The sequence below is a fragment of the Homo sapiens genome, chromosome 1, assembly GCF_000001405.40.
Source record: "Homo sapiens chromosome 1, GRCh38.p14 Primary Assembly".
Taxonomy (NCBI): domain Eukaryota; kingdom Metazoa; phylum Chordata; class Mammalia; order Primates; family Hominidae; genus Homo; species Homo sapiens.
The window spans coordinates 219,287,187-219,305,344 of NC_000001.11; the positions used below are offsets into that span (position 1 = coordinate 219,287,187).

The following is an 18,158-nucleotide window of genomic DNA, read 5'->3' on the forward strand; positions in this document are numbered from 1 at the left end:
TGCAGGAAGAGGTGAGGAAGAATGACAAGGACTTGCTGCCCAGACTTCTTAGTCCCGCCAATACGTAAATAATTTAGCAATGTATTTAACAGAGAGATAACCTGTCTACAGAAAATGCTTTAAGAATGATTTCCATTGCTACCCCAAGCTACCCTTATGCCAGTGCAATTAGGTCCCAGGTAGGATTTGAAAAATCATATTTTCCTCACCAAAAAAGATATATGGATGGCAAATAAGCAAATGACAAGTTGCTCCACAGTGTGTATCTTCAGGGATATGCAAATTGAAACAACAATGAGATACCTATTAGAATAGCCTACACACCTATTAGACACTTACACATCTATTAGACGCCTACACATCTATGAGAATGGCCCAAATCCAGATCACCAACAGAGCACCAAACACTGATGAGAATGTGGAACAACAGGAAGTCTCATTCGTCACTGGGAAGGCAAAATGGAGGAGCTACTTTGGAAGAAATTTGGAAAGTTTCTTACCAAACTAAACATATTCCTTACCATGTGATATAGTTTAGCTCTGTGTCCTCACCCAAATCTCGTGTCGAACTGTCATCCTCACTTGATGGAGGGGCCTGGTGGGAGGTGCTTGAATCACGTGGGTGGACTTCCCCATTGCTGTTTTTGTGATAGAGTTCTCACAAGATCTGGTTGTCTGAAAATGTGTAGCACTTCCCCCTTCACTCTTTCTCTCTCCTGCTCCACCATGGTAAGACATGCTTGCTTCCCCTTTGCCTTCTGCCATGATTGTAAGTTTCCTGAGGCCTCCCAGCCATGCTTCTTGTACAGTCTGTGGAACTGTGAGTCAGTTAAACCTCTTTTCTCCATAAATTACCCAGTCTCAGGTAGTTCTTTATAGCAGTGTGAGAACGGGCTAATACACTATAAAATCCAGCGATCACACCTTGGTATTTACCCAAAGAAGTTAAAAATTTGTATCCACATGGAAACCTACACAGGAAAGTTTATAGCAGCTTTATTTATAATTGCCAAAATTTAGAAGCAACCAAGATGTTCTTCAGTAGGTGAATGGTTAAAGAAACTGTGGTATGTTCAGACAATGCAATATAAGTCAGTGCTAAAAGGAAATGAGCTATCAGGCCATAGAAAAGCACAAAGGAAACTTAAGTGCATATTTTACTAAGTGAAAGAAGCCAATCTGAAAAGGCCATATGATGTACTCCAAATATATGACATTCTGGAAAAGGTAAAACTATGGAATCAGTTAAAAGAAAAAGATCAGTGACTGCCAGGGTTTGAGGCGTGGGATAATTTATCTACAGAAAATTTTCAGGGCAGTGAAAATTTTCACGGAAGCACAGAAGATTTTCAGGGCAGTGAAAACACTCTGTATAATGCTATATTGATGAATACATATTATTATACATTTACCTAAACCCATAGGATATACAACACTAAGCATGAACCTTAAGGGAAACTATGGACTTTGGGTGATATTGATGTGCCAATGTCGTTTCATCGACTGTAACAAATGCACCACTCTGGTGGGAGATGTTGACAATGGGGAAGGCTGACCATATGTGGAGACAAGAGTATATAAGAAATCTCTGTATCTTCTTCTCAATGTTGCCATAAACTTAAAACTGCTCTTAAAAAACTTGTCTTACATGTTTTAAAATTGTACTTTAACTTGTGAGAATTGTGGTAGAAGTACGCTTTAAAATTAATTCATGCCTCTAAAATATTGCATTTGTCATAAAATGTCATTAGGCACGCTCTCATTTAAATCGTCTTGCTCGAATTTGGTCAGGAAATGTTACCGTCTTAATACATCTGGATGATAAACATAGGCTCCTTTCCTTCTAGGGAGGCCATGCAGAAATGTGCTGGCACAAGTTACCTCTTGTTTTGTTTTTTTTGTTTTTTTTGCCTTTGGAAATTTCTTTGGAGGCACAGGACCCGAGGATGTGTAACTGAGATACATTTCTAAGGGCCCAAGGTTAGAGAGAAAAAGGAGGCGGCAGAGAAAAATTTGATAAGTATCAGAGTACATGCTATGCTTAATGCCGAAACCTGATCATTACTTAGTCTGTCCACCTCCCAATCATCGTGATCTGAGAACCAAGGAAGCCCGTGAGAGCTGTAGTGAGATCAAATGAGGGGATGCATGTGAAATGATTTTGTAAATTGTGAAGTGCTGTATATTTATATTCTTCTCACAGAATGGAGGCTCTGTGGGGAGTTTTTATTAGGTACTATGGGAAGAGAATATGAAAGAAATCGAATTCACAATCCTTGTGCCTAATGATCTTACAGATTAATAGCAGACAGAACACGGCAAGAGAGCTATTGTGAGAAAATAATATACCACACACATAAAAATCTATAATACAAGCCAATAGGCTGTAGAGTGTGGGCATGCAGAAAGAAGTATGGTTTTCAGTGAAGACTCTGCTTCAAGTAGAAAATTACTCTCAGTCTTTTCACCCACATTCTGTTTTAGATGTTTTTCTTTTTCATGAGCTGCTGGTATTGTCAAACACTTTCAAGCGTATTGTTTTAGTTAATGCCCACAATTGCTCGCGCCATCCTCATTTTATAAATTAAGAAACCACAGTTCAGAAAAGTTAAATAAATATTTCAAAGATGACATAATTAAGTGACCAAATTTGGGTTTAAATCCAAGCAGATCTCTCTGATATTAATGCCCCTTGGCCACCCTACCTTTTTCATCAGAGAAACACATTAGTTATCCCTTCCTTAATTGAATGAGAATTAGTGTCTAATGGCCAATCCTACTGATCCACAATCCTCTAAATCCAGATAACCTGGGGCTCAGTGAGAGCTGCAGGTAAGCAGCAAAATCCTGGAGGTTTGGCTCTGCCTTTCTAATGCCAGGAGACTGAGAAATGTCAGCCTTGGAGAAACAACAGGTCACCTAGGTGCTCTTGCTAAGACCCATCAGAATGCTCAGGTGTGATGTCTTGGTTTCATGCTGCAAATAAATAAGTAAATAAATGGACATGATTGTGGCTCTATTGTGCTGTGTCATTCTTAGGCATAGTTGGTTTCTCCTGCTAGTGTGCTTCCATGTCTTCCATCTCACTGTTAGAGGCATTCGAACCAGAGGAACTCCATCTTGAGTGAGGGCTAGGAAAAATGAGGCTGAGACTTTCTGGGCTGCATTCCCAGGACGTTAGTTATTCCTAGCCCCTCTACATGTTTAGGTTTAAAAGAACAGATTGATAACATTTACTAAACAGACCCAGACTTCCAACATCTTGAGAAGCATTTCTAATTTTGCTTTAAAAATAATAATATTGATTTTTACAAAATACAGTGATTAAGAAAAGTAACCCTTTATCACAAACCCTTATAGCAGAGCACATCTCCCTATGATATGTTGTTGTTGTTGTTATCCTATATATAAACAAGTATTGTACCTAGAGTGGGAGCATTCCTCCTCTTACTTTCGGGAATGCCCTTCTCTGTCTGCGGAATAGCTATTCTTTCACCACTTTACTTTCTTAATAAACTCGCTTTCATTTTGCACTGTGGACTCGCCCCAAATTCTTTCTTGAGCGACATCCAAGAACCCTCTCTTGCAGTCTGGATTGGGACCCCTAACATAACTTGTGACCATACCCAAATGCACTATCTTTATATTCTGTACATGCACATTACACATGGCAGGTATTCACAAAGTTTTGTTGAATATACTCTATTCACAGACCAGCCTGGTGTAGGAGGTAAGCACAGTTTATGGTCATGGAAAACCTGAGATCAAATCCTATATCTACTATTACTGGCTGTAAAATCTCAATCAAGTTACTTAGTATCATTCTGTCAGTTCTCTTGTTTGTAATATAGGGAATTAATAGCACCCACTTCAAGGATTGTTAACCAACGCTTGAGTAAGCTTCTATAAAGTGCCTAAAATAACACTTGGTATATAGCAAGTATCAAATAACTCTAATTATGATGTTTCATACAATGGTGTTTGTTGACAGAAAAAAATGTCAAACAACAAAGGAAAATACTCAAATAATATTTGCGTATTTATAAATTCTCAATATGTTACATAATGCAAGACCAAAGAATCTCTGATGCAGATATAGTCAGTTTGTGTTTTAGTTCAGTCTTTTAGCTTCTATTAAATGTGGAAGAAAATACTCTTTTATTTATTTTTGTTTGCTGTTTTGGATGGTTTGGAAGTACAAGAAGTAAAAAGCATACAAATATTTGAAATAAGTGCCAGCTTTGAATCTTCTCTACAATCTACTGTCCTTTGTTCTGTTGGGAACACATGTCAGCTGACTTCACTAATGATTCCTCTCTAATAATAATGCTTACTATGTTTCAGGGGTGTTAAGCCACCTCTTCCCTAATATTCAGGTTTCACCAGGTCTCCTGACTCTTGGAGGGACTGGAGATGGTGATGATTACAGTCATATGTCCCCGATTTATTTTACTTCCACTCAAAGATAAGATTTCTCCCCCAACCTCTTAGCTCTCTATTTAGGTGCCAAGTTAGGCCAAGTCTTTTTCTTCTATGCACCTAGATTAGTAATTAAAATCACCTGTCACAGGGTTACAAATGCCTTCATGCTCCATTCATATGTGCAAAAAAAAATGTAGCTTCTTTATTATGTTACAAAATGCTCCCATTGTCATCAAACGCCACCATTCATTGGAAGCAGGATAAAGCGGAATAAAGCAAAAAAAAAAAAAGAAAGAAAGAAAAGAAAAACTTAGCTTGCTTACTTTTTTCAGGATTGATTACAGTTTAATGCAATAATTGAAATAATCTACATATCCCAGGCACTTATGAATATATTTCTTAGTCTCCTGCTCTTCAAAAGCAGGCACCTGGGTGTGCAGTGGGGGCCCACACAATAGAAATGAACACGTGGGCTCCTCACCCGTCTTTTGCTCCTCTTGTACTGCAGCAATGTCTTGTCTCTCCCGACACCACCTTGTGTTGCTGCCTTCTGATCCTCAAATCTCAGCTGACGGGACAGGTGGTCCTCCCTGCTGACCCCCTTCACCTCTCCTGGGAATGTGAAAGCCCTGAGATCTCAATGGGACTCGAATTTGGTTCCCAGCCAGATAGTATGCCCTGAAGTTCACAACCACAAGGCACTTTCACACCAACCACTGGACTCCCCTCTTGTAATCCTAGATTCTCAGTAATATTACATCCTCCATTTGGAACAAATAGGAATTGCTGAGTCCTGCCCATGCTACCTGGGAGCCCAACTTAGTTAGGAAGATCTAAGCTCAAGTGCTCTCTCTGCCTGTCAGAGCAACCTTTTTGGCACTGATGCCACCTTCTGCTGGTGCCCTACCAGTCTGCAGGACATGCTTCTTCTGTCAGAGTCCCAAACCTAAAACTAGGACTGAAACCTTGCTGCCCTCATTTCCCCAGCACAGCTGCCTTTTACACCTCATCTAGTCTTGTAGCTACATCCAGCTGATTTAAAAACTGATTTCATCTTTAGGATATTCACTGAACACTTTAGATGTACTACATACTGTGCACTACACAGGGGTACAATGTCAAGTAAGGTAGGCCCTCTGTTTCTAATCACGTAAGAAGGTTATTATAAAAATATGTGTTTTATGGTGTGTTGAGATAGAGAGGCAAGGCTTCCTGTGTACCCATAGAAGAGCTATTGAACTAGCCTGGCAGATGGGGCTTCAGAGGAGGCTTCCTGGGATAGGAGACATCCATTCTTACCAACAGCAATTACCTCTGCTCCCACCCAAAGGCATGTGTTGTCGATGTCTTGTTAATATACTAGTGGATTCACTGCTTGGGGACTTTTGGAGAGCTCTGCAACCTTTTAGCTGTGGCCTCCAAATAATTTTCACATAGTAGATTCAGTGGTAAGGAAACCAGTTCTACTGCGTCTGATCAATTCTTTCAAAGACTACAAAATCAGTCTCCGAGTTTACATCTGGGATGGGATAGCTTGCAGGAGCCTTTTGAGGAGATTCTGAGCACTTCCTTAGCAGATGAGCCAGAAATGAGAACAGCTGTTCTCCACAGAGTTTTGACATTTCTGGTCTCCGCAAACCATACAGAGCTGAAAAAAATAAAAATAAAAAGGGTGAGAGAGATAGTAGAAATGGGAAGGAATATAGGGTATTTCCCCCCAAAAAAATAGGTTGATTATGATATTATGTAAAATATATTAGAAAGAAATAATCCCATTCCCCAAATTTATAATTTTAGTTTTTGTATCCCTGGCTTAGAGTTAAAAATATAGTCTCTCTCCCCCCAGCTCTCTCCCCTCCCCCAACTTGGCAATTTAGTGCAATCATATCACTGGAGACATTGTTTTTCTCATCTGTCACAATTTGTTGTTTATTTAAATACGGAATCAAGAAATTCACATTGAAATTAAACATCTTGTTTCCTATGGCTGAAAGCCAGCAAGAATTTGTCTTTGGAAGGCTGATTACAAAACACGAAACAGCATTTTTGTGTAATGTCTTTCCTACTGATTTCATCAAGTGATTAGTATCTGATTATGACTGAGCCACTAGACATGTGCGTATATTAAAAAATAGCTTAGGTATCTTAATACACAATATATCCAGAATAGAATTAATGTGTATTGAAGTAGCTTGTGTTTCCAATATGGCATCTGAGGTTAATCAGAACCTCAAGTTTAAGGAAGAGAAAGGATGCCCTTGGAAAGACAATAAAAACATCCATTACAGGACTTACGTTTTCTCTGCCTTGTCCCCCAAGCTTATTCAGTCCCCATGTGTCACATGTCCAGCATAGACCTGTGTGGTCTATGGCACTAATTCCTGGGGAAACATCCAAATTGCAGATTATCTCCAAAGCCATTTGACTATTTTCCCACTGTCTTCTCCTTTAGGCTACCATTGAAATGGAAAATTTGCTGGAGAAAGTTGATTAAGTAACATTTCACGGAAGAGGAGAATTGTAATAACCATTTGATAGAAGAGAGATGTCCTTGAACTCAATCTATCCTGAAGATGCTCCTGAGAGGGCAAACAAATAACATCTCTCTGGAAGGATGCCTGCCTTTGTCAAAGCTTTCAAATCTGTATGACTTCTATCTTTCCTTGGCTTCCCTTACTCAATTAGTCAAGGATCCTTGTGGATGTTTAACATAAAATGTCACTCACATCTGCCCTCCTCCTCAACTTTCCATTCCATCCTCTCCACAGATGCCTGATGCATTTTCTTCTGACTCAGTCTTCTGTTTTTCATGGAGAACACAGAGCAAGACAGAAGCTCCCAACTGTGGCATCCAAGAGCAACTTGAGCTGCTCCCTTACTTATCTCTGGTAATGATTTGAATCCTTTGCTTTTGCCAGACTGACTCATCTAGTCATTGCTCCCCAAATATTCATTTCCCCATTATTTCTTGTGGCCTAAGCACCAAATTTTGTTCTTTCAAAATCTACTCTTCCTTCAGGTCTGGCTCAAACTCTTTGTGATGACTGTTCTACCATATGGCTTAATAGCTAAGTACACATGCATTGACCTCAAGCCTTCCCACAGCTCAGGTTCCTGAGGCACAGACTCTGGATGGAAATTAGCACATAATAGGTTTATTAGAAAGTGCTCTTGGAATTAACATCTTTGGAGGAAGAAAAGAAGCAATATTGTCCAGAGAGGGAAGTTGAACTGCAATGAAGTTGCCACAGAGGCTTCAATGAATCCTTCTGGGTGTAGAGCTGGGATGACCTTTCCAGAGTTTTCCAATTAAGGGAATTGTATCTCACCTCAATCTCTAGTCTGAACCTTGGGTGAGGCAGCTTCTTTCAGCCAATGGCAATTCCTGGAGGCACCAGGAGTTATGAGCAGTCAACACTCTTTCTTTGCTCCTGAGAAAATTGAGTGCCCTCTTTGGTCCTGAAAGCAGCTCTGGGCAGCACTCCACAGCATCCACTACAGACTTAGTGAGTTCACCCTGGCTCTCCCACTTACAGATTGCAGGTAAGTTTCTTAACTTGCCTATGCCCTTATCATCACTGCTACTAAAAACCTACATATGCTGCCTTCTGTTGTCATTTTAAAAATCTAATTATGACTCACATCACAATTGTTCACAACACACAACCATTGAGAACCATGGAGCTGGGTTATGAAGTCTCTAAGGGAAGAGATTGTATCATTTTCATCTTCATACCACCCACCTCCTCCCATACAAGGAAATTTTGTCATTGTAAATTTGTCTTGATTTGCTATTTTTTGGGTTTAGCTCTGAAGTCATGAATTAGTAAAGAGAGATATAAGACAAATTTTCGGGCTATTTTTATAAATTCAGTATTGAAAAGAGATTCCCATTTCCCAGCTTTGAGACCTTTTATTTTAAGCAATATTTGTTAGCAGAAAATGTCTGTTCTGAAAGAGGTGTGCCATGAGGTCATGTTGACTTATCTCCCTTAATTTCCCTAATGTCCCCTTCTCTTCAACTTCTCTTCACTGCTTTCTTTAAGAGTTTTCAGATTGCCAGAGCCTTTCTACTAGTTTATTTGCCATTGTTCTGTCCCCTACTCCAGCTACCCACCAAACTACAACTAACACCATCATTGTTGCTCATCACAAATCTGATCATATGGTTTTTAAATTTCTCTTTTGCTTACAGAATCAAATCCAAAATCCTCACTTTGGCATTCAGAAGGTCTTTGCAATGGGCCTTCTCAGCACCTTCCGCTAAATCCCCCAGCCTTCTGGCCCCTTCCACCTTCTCCAATGAATGCTAAGCTCCAGCCACATTGACCTACTCATTTCCTGCAATATATTATGTAGCCTTTCTTGTCTTTAAAATTGCTTTTTCTAAGTGTGCCTTTTCCCTCATTTCTCTCATTGGCACATAGTTGGTGTTAAATCAATATCTGATAAATAATAAATTAATGCATACATGGTGAAAATTTTCTAAATTTTAAAGTTCTCTGCCCATGGAGTAGAAGAACATAGCATCTGACATTTTGGCAATATATGGACACATAAATGAATCAATCATAAAGAAATAATAACTTCTGAAAATCCAGCCCATATAAACAGTTATTTCTAGATCCACCGAGCTTCTGCGTGCTGGGCCAGGAAGATGCCTTTGATGGCTAGGGGATATGTAGGTTTCTGGGTTATGTTCCAGCTGTCACTCTGTGCAGGGCCTCTGGGGTTCTGCACCTGAATAAACGGTTAAATCTTCAATCCTAATATGGCTGGGCATCCAGTTAGTCATGACTGAGACAAAGGGTAAGGAAGGTGAGTACCTCTGTGAACAGTGGTTAGTTTGTTTGGGCATTCAACCAAAAGGGTACTCAGGGTCTTTGAGACACCTGCAGAGGGAATTATCCATCAACCAGGCACATAAGTGGAGGGGACAAGCTCATGAAAGAAAAACATCACCCTGAAGACGGGTAGCTGGGAGGCAGGCGAGGGAAGCTAACAAAACACCCTTCTTTTATGAGTCACTTTTTTAAGGTCTTGCTTAAATTTTTTGTTTAAAAAAATTATGATTTAAAAGGTTCAAACAGCCTAGGGAAGTAAATCCATGCATACTTCCAACATTAGTTAATATTTACTAAGAAATCATAGGTTACAACAAATTAAACTTTTTGGCTCTCTTACTGAGCTTTTCTGGCCAACCATGTTAGGGACTGTTCCTACAGATAGTTTATAACTATTTTTTTACCCCTCTAAGCAACTAAAGTGCAACGAATCAGAAGAACTCTGGGTCCATGTGGTTCTTAAGCCAGGGTCTTTGGAAAATGGATTTGAGGTTGAGGAATGGATCAATGTGAACAGGCAGACACTAGACGTGCCCGCTAATAACTGGGAAAAGTGAGTTAGATTTCTCCTTGTTTGAGGTGGAATTCCTTCATATAAACCTGGGCACCCTCAGAGAGAAATTCTTTATAGTCCAAACTGATGTTTATTTTGGACTCTGTTTCTCTTTCAGCTTTCAGTTGCGACCTTAGGAATGAGCTCACAATTGGAAGCAAATCTGTCTTCTGTTTCTACTGTTAAAGAATTACCTACCCACTGACAAAAACACATAGGATTAACAATGGCTTTGTCCCAGATAGATGCTTTTTGGAATTGTACAAACTGTATTTATGATGCTTGTACATTTTGGTCCAACTTTTAAATATTTCAATAAGACTGATTGAATTCTTAGTAAATAGAATACTTCCTCTGTTCAGTTTTGCTCTGTTGAATGCTGGAAGTTTGGTGAGTCTGACCCACTACACGTATCTCAGATGATTTAAAAACAAAGGCAGGCCATTTGGTTTTGATGCTGTGTCTGTTTTGGGCAGTGTCTCAGATTGAAATCCTGTGAATAAAAAGTGGTTCTGAAAAGTTATTCTTAGCCACTTAGGTATAGGCTCTTAGTCTTGAGAAATGGGTAAGGCTTCTGAATGTCTGATTTAGTCATACAAATCATCATTTGGCATATCTCTTTTGTGGATTTTTATTGGTATTGATTCAAAAACATTTTCAAAATTACTAAAGAGAGTACTAGTGCATTTGTACTTCATTGGTTGGATCCTTGAACAGACTGCAAGTTATTTACATTGGAGTTGACATTTCCCAGATTCTCTGGAAGCGATAAAGAGGGTAGAAGGAACTAACATGTATTTATTCATTTGTTTTACCAACAAACTTTTAGTTGGTAAAACACTAACACAACAAACCTTTAGTCATTCAAACACTGAGCTGCATGTTTTACACAGAACAACTACCTTACTCCCCTTAACAATTCTATAAAACCCATTTTATAGATAGAGACTCAGAGAGGTTAAGTAACTTGTAAATGAAGGAACTAGTAATTGGAGAACTTGAAATTTAAATTTAGATCTACTGGCCTGAATGGGTGGCTCATGCCTGTAATCCCAGCATTTTGGGAGGCTAAGTGGGGTGGATTCCTTGAGCCCAAGAGTTTGAGACCAGCGTGGGTAACATGGCGAAACCTCATCTCTACTAAAAACATAAAAATTTGTCAGGCATGGTGGTGTGCACCTGTAGTCCCAGCTACTTGAGAGGCTGAGGTGGGAGAATCACCTGAACCTGGGAGGTCAAGGCTGCAGTGAGCCGAGATACAGCCACTACACTCCAGCCTCGGTGCTGGAGTAAGACCCTGTCTCAAAAATAAAATAAAATAAAATACATTTAGGTCTTTCATTTTAAAAGCCAAGGCTTCTTCATTAAGCATGGAACCTCACAAATGTGTTATGCATATGAAAACACGACCACTAAAGGAGGCGCTGAGGCTCTGATTTGAGCATAGCCAATCCCTCTAGCCACTAAGGGAATGAGAATATATGAAAACCACCTTCTTCCTCTTAGGGCAGTTACTGAACCTCTCTCTCCCCCATATTTCCTAGTTCTGTCTTTTTCCCACCACCCAAGATGTCTCATGAACTCCCACAACAGGCAAATTAGGGAACATCATTTTGAGAGTTCTCGCCAGGCAGGCCTCTGACACATCTCCTGGCTTTGAATATCCTCAAAACATTTCAAAAGAGAGGATTTTTAAAAGGAGGTTTAAAAAGAAGCAGACCTGGAGTTGCACAGAGGCAGTGAAGACATCCTTGAGGTCATTCTTTCTTTTTTCTACACTGATGTATTCTCTCCAGAGTGATAATAATCTTTTTTGAAATGCAGGTCTAAGACGGAAGGAATTTTTATCTGGAAGAGTAATATAAATTAGCTTTGACTGCCAGTTTCCACTGATTATTACTTTCCAGGCGGAATTCCTACAAATTCTTGAGGCATGACCTCCAATGAAAAAATAAAACCCCTTTAAAAACTCGTTGAGAAATTCCAGATAACTTTCACAAGAGACTTAATTTTAGAGCATTAACACAATCTTGGTTGGAAAGATAAAACTACAATGCAGTTATTTGGTAAAAGTCATTACTTCACAATGAAGTCATTGGAGATTATTTTACTGTGCTTATCTGCCCTCCCCCAGCTTTTTTTTTTTTTTTTTGTCTTTTAAACTTGGTTCCTTACCCCCAAAACTAATTTTATTATGCATTACTCAGTGCACTCTAGATTCACCCTTATAAAAGGATAAAGTGTTTCCACAGATAACCAATTGGAAGCAGCCAATGTGGGACTCAACCTACCAGGGCGAGCAAACACTGTTACCGGTTATTACATAGTAGTAATATGTACTATGTATTATCACATACATTTGGTTTTGGAAACCACGGGAAAGTTTAAAAAAAGAAGGTATCATATGAAATAACAGACTCAAAGAGATATCTGTGTTTTTTTGGAAGAGGTTTAGGTGTGGAGGAAGTGAGAGCATGAATACTGGTGTTTACCGAGAGCCTAATAGGTAACGGGGTGGTGTTGAGTCATCCCCATTGGACAGATGGGGAAAGTTCAAATCAGAAAGGTGAAGTGATTTGTCCAAGGACTTGCAACTTTTAAATAGTGGAGCGGCAGCAACTCGAGTCCAGGAATGTCTGACTGTAAAGTTGGTTCTCTTCCCACTGTAGAGTGTTGCCCTTTCATGAGCTGGCCTAAGTTTAGATGGGAAAACATGAAGACTGGAGCCACATGTGCAAAATATATCAATGGTTCAGAATGGCCTGAAGGGAAAATGTTATCACTACCTACCACTTGCCCTAAAATTTTCACTTACTTGAAGCTGACTAGTTTTTTCTTGAAGCTGATTTTTTTGGTTGTACATATATATGCACACACACATAGGTATGTATGAAGTGTTTCCTCAGATAACCAGTCGGAAGCAGCCAATGTGGGACTCAACCTACCAGGGTGAGCAAACACTGTTATAGGCTTGCTGAAATATATATATTTGAGACAGAGTCTCGCTCTGTCACCCAGGTTGGAGTGCAGTGGTACAATCACAGCTAACTGCACCCATAGTCTCCTGGGCTCAGGCTATCTTCCCATCCCACCTCAGCCTCTTGAGTAGCAGGGTCTACAGGCAAGTGCCACTATGCCCACCTAATATGTTTAGTTTTTGCAGGGACAAGGTATATCTATGTTCCCCAGGCTGGTCTCAAACTCCTTGGCTCAAGGGATCCTCCCACCTCGGCCTCCCAAAGTGATGGGATACAGGTGTGAGCCACTGTGCCTGGCCTATATTCAGTATTTGTATACAAATACAATCATAAGGAAAAGTATGGTTAAATTATTATCTTTTGGGGCATTTACATGAAGAAGCATGATTGTCTTGTGAAAATAATGGTTATTTTTAAATAGAATTTATCTTTCCTGTCAATTTTTAAAAATTTTTACTTATGGCCCATGAACAGGTGGAAAAGAGATTTATAAAAGAGGGAAAAAAGGGGGGACGCTTTGTGAACCTATGAGATTCTTTATCCTAACTTTTTTTTTTTTTTTTTTTTTTGAGATGGAGTCTCGCTCTGTCGCCCAGGCTGGAGTGCAGTGGCGCATTCTGGGCTCACTGCAAGCTCTGCCTCCTGGGTTCACGCCATTCTCCTGCCTCAGCCTCCTGAGTAGCTGGGACTACAGGCACCTGCCACCATGCCTGGCTAATTTTTTTGTATTTTTAGTAGAGACGGGGTTTCACTGTGTTAGCCAAGATGGTCTCAATCTCCTGACCTCGGGATCCGCCTGTCTCGGCCTCCCTAAGTGCTGGGATTACAGGAGTGAGCCACCGTGCCCGGCCTATCCTAACATTTCCTAATGTCCTGAGAGTTCAGAATTAGCCAGTGATGGAAATTATCTTTTAGATATTTCAAAGTTTGCTTCCTCTTTTCAAGAATATTTATATTTTCAGTAGTGGTGGCATGCACCTGCAGTCCCAGCTACTCAGGAGGCCTAGATGACAGGATCACTTAAGCCCAGGAATTCGAGACCAGCCTGGACAACATAGCAAGACTCCACCTCTAAAAAAAAAAAAGAATATTCATATTTTACTGGTTGGCATACATGAAATCAAAATGGGTTGTCTTTTCAATAACGATTCAACATTATTTATTCTTCAGCAGTAAAATTCCACAGCATGAATTACATTACATAAATCTACTCATTAAGCTTATTGGTTGAGCATCCTATTTATTCAAGGCAAAAGAGATACAAAATAAATAAACACATACTTTTCCCCAAGGTATTCACAGTAATCTAAGAAAACAGGTACAAAAAGACGTAATTATGGTACAGAATGGTGAAGCTCATGTCTGACATATAAACATGTGAGGGAGCATAATTGGGCTTTCCAAATTTCAAGCTATCTAGAAATAAGAACTATATAGAAGAAAAATTGTACTAGAATAAAAGGAATTTGTGATTATAGAGCATGGGAAAAATGTAAGTTTATTTGCAATTCTATTTAGACCATGCTTTTATTGTAAAATATTTTTCAATAAACCACAAAAAAATCCAAAGTAATTTTATTTGCATTATACCTCTTAATCTTGTAGTGTTTCTGAGACATGGAAAAAGACAAGTGCTTTTATTTCTAATTTATAAATAAATGTGTATCTTAACTTCAGTTACTCAATTGCCCCCCAGAAAATATAACATAACCCTATTCAATAAGATTCTTTAAAAATTTTACAACTCTGAAAAGCTCTTCTATACTCTCCTATTTTTAACTAACAGTTATTTTTAAATGTACATTTTAATTCTTTTTCTCATTTTTGATACCTGATATATTTTAAATGCCTCTCTTTTTTATCACTTGCAAAAAGTGGCCAGTAACTAATTCTCCCTTCTCAAATTCCTTTTTGATTTTACAATAGTTCATATTTGTTTTGAATTTTTTAAAAAATACATGATACAGATAAGCAAAAACAAAGAAAAGACAGAATGAAAAAGAGAGAGAGAGAGAGAACTGGGGGTAGGGGCTCTAATTAGAAAAAGGAACTTCTGGAACAAGCAAAAAGGGGTGTGCATAGCAAGGCAGCATTGCCAGCAGTGTTAAGGGTGCACATGCTTCCTGACTTTCTCCCTGTGATGATCCTATTATTCTACAATTCTTAAATGTAGGTCCATCTATTATACTTATTTCTTTCTACTTCATTTGTACTTACCTCAGCTCAGAGGTGCTTCAATAACTGTTAACTGATCTTGCTTCTATCTCTCTCCATCCATTCAGATTACATTGCCTAAATTAGTATTTTCCAAGAGTCACTCTTCTGGGCAAGTATTTTCATTACCTTCACTGGTCTTATAGTATAGAATACCACTCCAGGCCCTGAGCATATTCTAACAGTAAGTTAATTTCAGCCTTATTTTTCACTATTCCCCTCTCCACCCCTGCTTTCCACAGCCCAGAAGCTCCTTATGTTGGTGAGGTGTAGGAGGAGCACGGTCCTCAGAATGAAACTGATCTGGGTGCAAATCCTGGCTTCATCACTACAGAGAGGTTGTGAATCTAGGCAAGTTTCCATATCTCTCTGAGTCTCAATTTTTTTTCATTTATGGAATAAACATAATATTTTTCACCTTGCAGGAACGTGTGGAGGACACATGAGAAAGGTATCCAAACATACATTGCCTAGTGTGGGGCACACCTTAGGTTCTCATTAAGAGTTAGTTTCTTTTCTCTCCAGTCAGATTGTCCCTTTCCCTTTTTCACCTCCAATCTTTGTCTGGGATGCCCACTTTTTCACATCCTTCTATTCTTGATGTTTTTCTCCTCTTTGAAGATCTTCTAGGTCATTCCAGCTCACAGGAATTCCTCTGCTTCCTCTAAATGCCTAATGCATTACATGCATTAGCCATTCACCACTCGTTGGTGGGATCTTTGAGATCTTTCTTGATATGCTGTCATGTTTTATTATTATTCTCCTGTATACAGTCCTCCCTGCATTCCTGCTTTGTTTCACAAAATAGACTATGAGCTCACCAAAAATAGGTCTATTCACTCTGTATTCTCAGTACCTCACACATTTCCAGAAGTATAGAAAATGCTCCACTATCTCTTTATTGAATTGATTTTTATATTTTATTATCTTCCCTAGGTCTTCCCTTGAATCTTAAATCATGAAATATTAATAATTAATCAATCAATTCATTTATTTATTTGTGCGTTTGTTTTCAACAACAATGTATTGGATGTTTACAATGTTCCAGGCACTGATCTAGTTACTCAAGACATAGCTATAAACTAAATAGACAAGTTTTTTGCTTTCATGGATTATCTTATAGTCTAGTGGGTAATAAAAACAATACAAATGTAGATTAATAAATAATTTAAGAGTCATGACTACTCTGAGGGAAATAAAACCAGGTGACAGGAGAGCTAGTGACAGATAAGCAGGGTTGTGCCTGGGGCTTGGGAATCCCCAAGACATTTTGGCCATGGAGCAGATGATCTGCAGCAGGCAATTGGTTGTTTCTTGTCACCCAGTGTTACTGGTGGTTGGAGCTCATCTACTATGTGCAGATCATAGAACATGTGAGCTGTGAGAGAACTCAACAGTGATGAAGTCTAGCAATTCTCAAATACTATTTTATTGCCATATATTTATTCAAGTGAAATCTCATAGGGAAGCCCATAACTCCTGGATGTTTTCATAATTCCGCTGAAAACCTTTGGTCTGGCTTATGTTCTTTACTTTTACAAATGAGGAAACAAATACAAATGGCACATGGAGATGAATGGTCAAAAATTAGATGGCAGACAGGTGTGAATGACATCATAGGTATCTTATGATACCTGATTGGCTCGGGTGGCTACTATGTTTTTCTGTTTGAAGAAACAGTTCCCTTCAAAACAAGTTTCCAACCTAGGGATATGATTTATTGCTCCATTGCAATTTTTAACAGTATTACCCAATTATTTACATAACTTATTCCCTAACTAGTTCTAAATAGTTTTTAGTTGTTGCTTAAGACCAAAACAATTATCTAATAAATATTTACAATGATTTACAAACATAAAGATTGAAGATGTATGTCCCCTTTAGGCTCAGCTGTAAATTACCTTCTCTCTCTCTGATCCCTATAATCCTTTATACCTCCCATATGATATTTGCCAGATTTTACCTTGTAAAATTGCTGTCACAACCTTTTCTGACCCTATACATAAAACTGCAAAAGGTCTGAGACCAGGAAATCATATCTTAATATATTTGTGGTACCCACTAAAAACAGTGCCATGCATTTATAGTAGATGCTAAATAACAAATATTAAATAATTATCCAAGATGCTCAGTTTAATTCAAGCAGACAGAGTCACTGAAAAATTATTTTGAGCATTGATAACATCACTGGCATATGTGGGTAGCCTGCCAGGTGGCAGTCTTGCCAAGGAAAGCATTCATTTGAATGTGTAAGATCTGGTATGTCATCAAAAGCCATTCGTATGATTTCATCGTCATGGCATCTATTTAGTGAGTGACTCTTAGATTACTTAGAGCAGGATGCTAGGTGCTTTGGGTGGGATTCAGAAGAGGCATAAAATATAATCCATTCCTTTAACAAATTAGCAGTGAAGACTGGGAAACAAGAGTCCAAAAATATAAAGTCGTGTATAATTAAGTTCTAAATTGTGTAGTGAAAGTAAGTGAGGCAGAAGTCCAAGGAGTGATCACTAAATGGTGGCTGTGGAGGGTAGGAAAGGCACCAGACCCTAGATTGCCATGAAAACACATATTGAGATGCCAAGTCGTCTACACAGATCTCTGAGGGAATTAAAGGCTAGTCTACACAAGGTCATAGCACAATAAACGAGTCGCAGGAATGAAGAACAAAATTGGCTTTCATTTTTCCTATCGGCAAAGAGGCTTGGCTTGACACAGTACTGCAGGTTTCAAAAATTCCAGTGTCAGATATTGTTCCTAAAGGAGAAACATTCTGAGAACTTGTGAGAATGCAAATTTGTCCTTGCACAGGAGGACGTCAGCCAAAGAGTTCCCAGACATTACTCACTGGTTCGGCATATCCCTCAACCTACTAGGCTAAGTTGTGCCATGTCACTGAGGGGACCACAGTCTGTTCTTACATGGACTGTGGCTCAAGAAATTAGGAATGGGAAGGACCAGAATTTACAGTGTGGAGATGAAAGGTACAAGCCTTATAAGGAGAGATCACAAAAGAAAAATGTTAGACTATCTGGAATGCCAGGTGATGAGATATGACATGTAACATGGGTAGTTAACCCATCAGGAGCTCTAGACACAAATATACTCCCTTTCTTTCAGGGTGTAGAGTACTCTGTAATTGGTGTA

At 39.0% G+C, this 18,158-nt stretch overlaps 1 protein-coding gene across 16 annotated transcripts in view; it reads left to right on the plus strand.

Annotated features, from left to right (window-relative positions):
• Positions 1-18,158, plus strand: part of LYPLAL1 (lysophospholipase like 1) — a 271,619-nt gene that overhangs the window by 113,309 nt on the left and 140,152 nt on the right. For 4 of the 16 annotated variants that reach the window (XR_007078557.1, XR_007078564.1, XR_007078559.1 and 1 more), the window contains one exon: positions 6,875-7,965. The exons of 5 other annotated variants lie outside the window; for them this stretch is intronic. The gene's annotated coding sequence lies outside the window, so the exon portion shown is untranslated. Of the gene's footprint in view, positions 1-6,874; positions 8,904-9,937; positions 13,338-18,158 lie in introns of those variants that run through there. 7 more of the 16 variants (XR_007078555.1, XR_007078568.1, XR_007078567.1 and 4 more) reach the window with 6 other exon arrangements.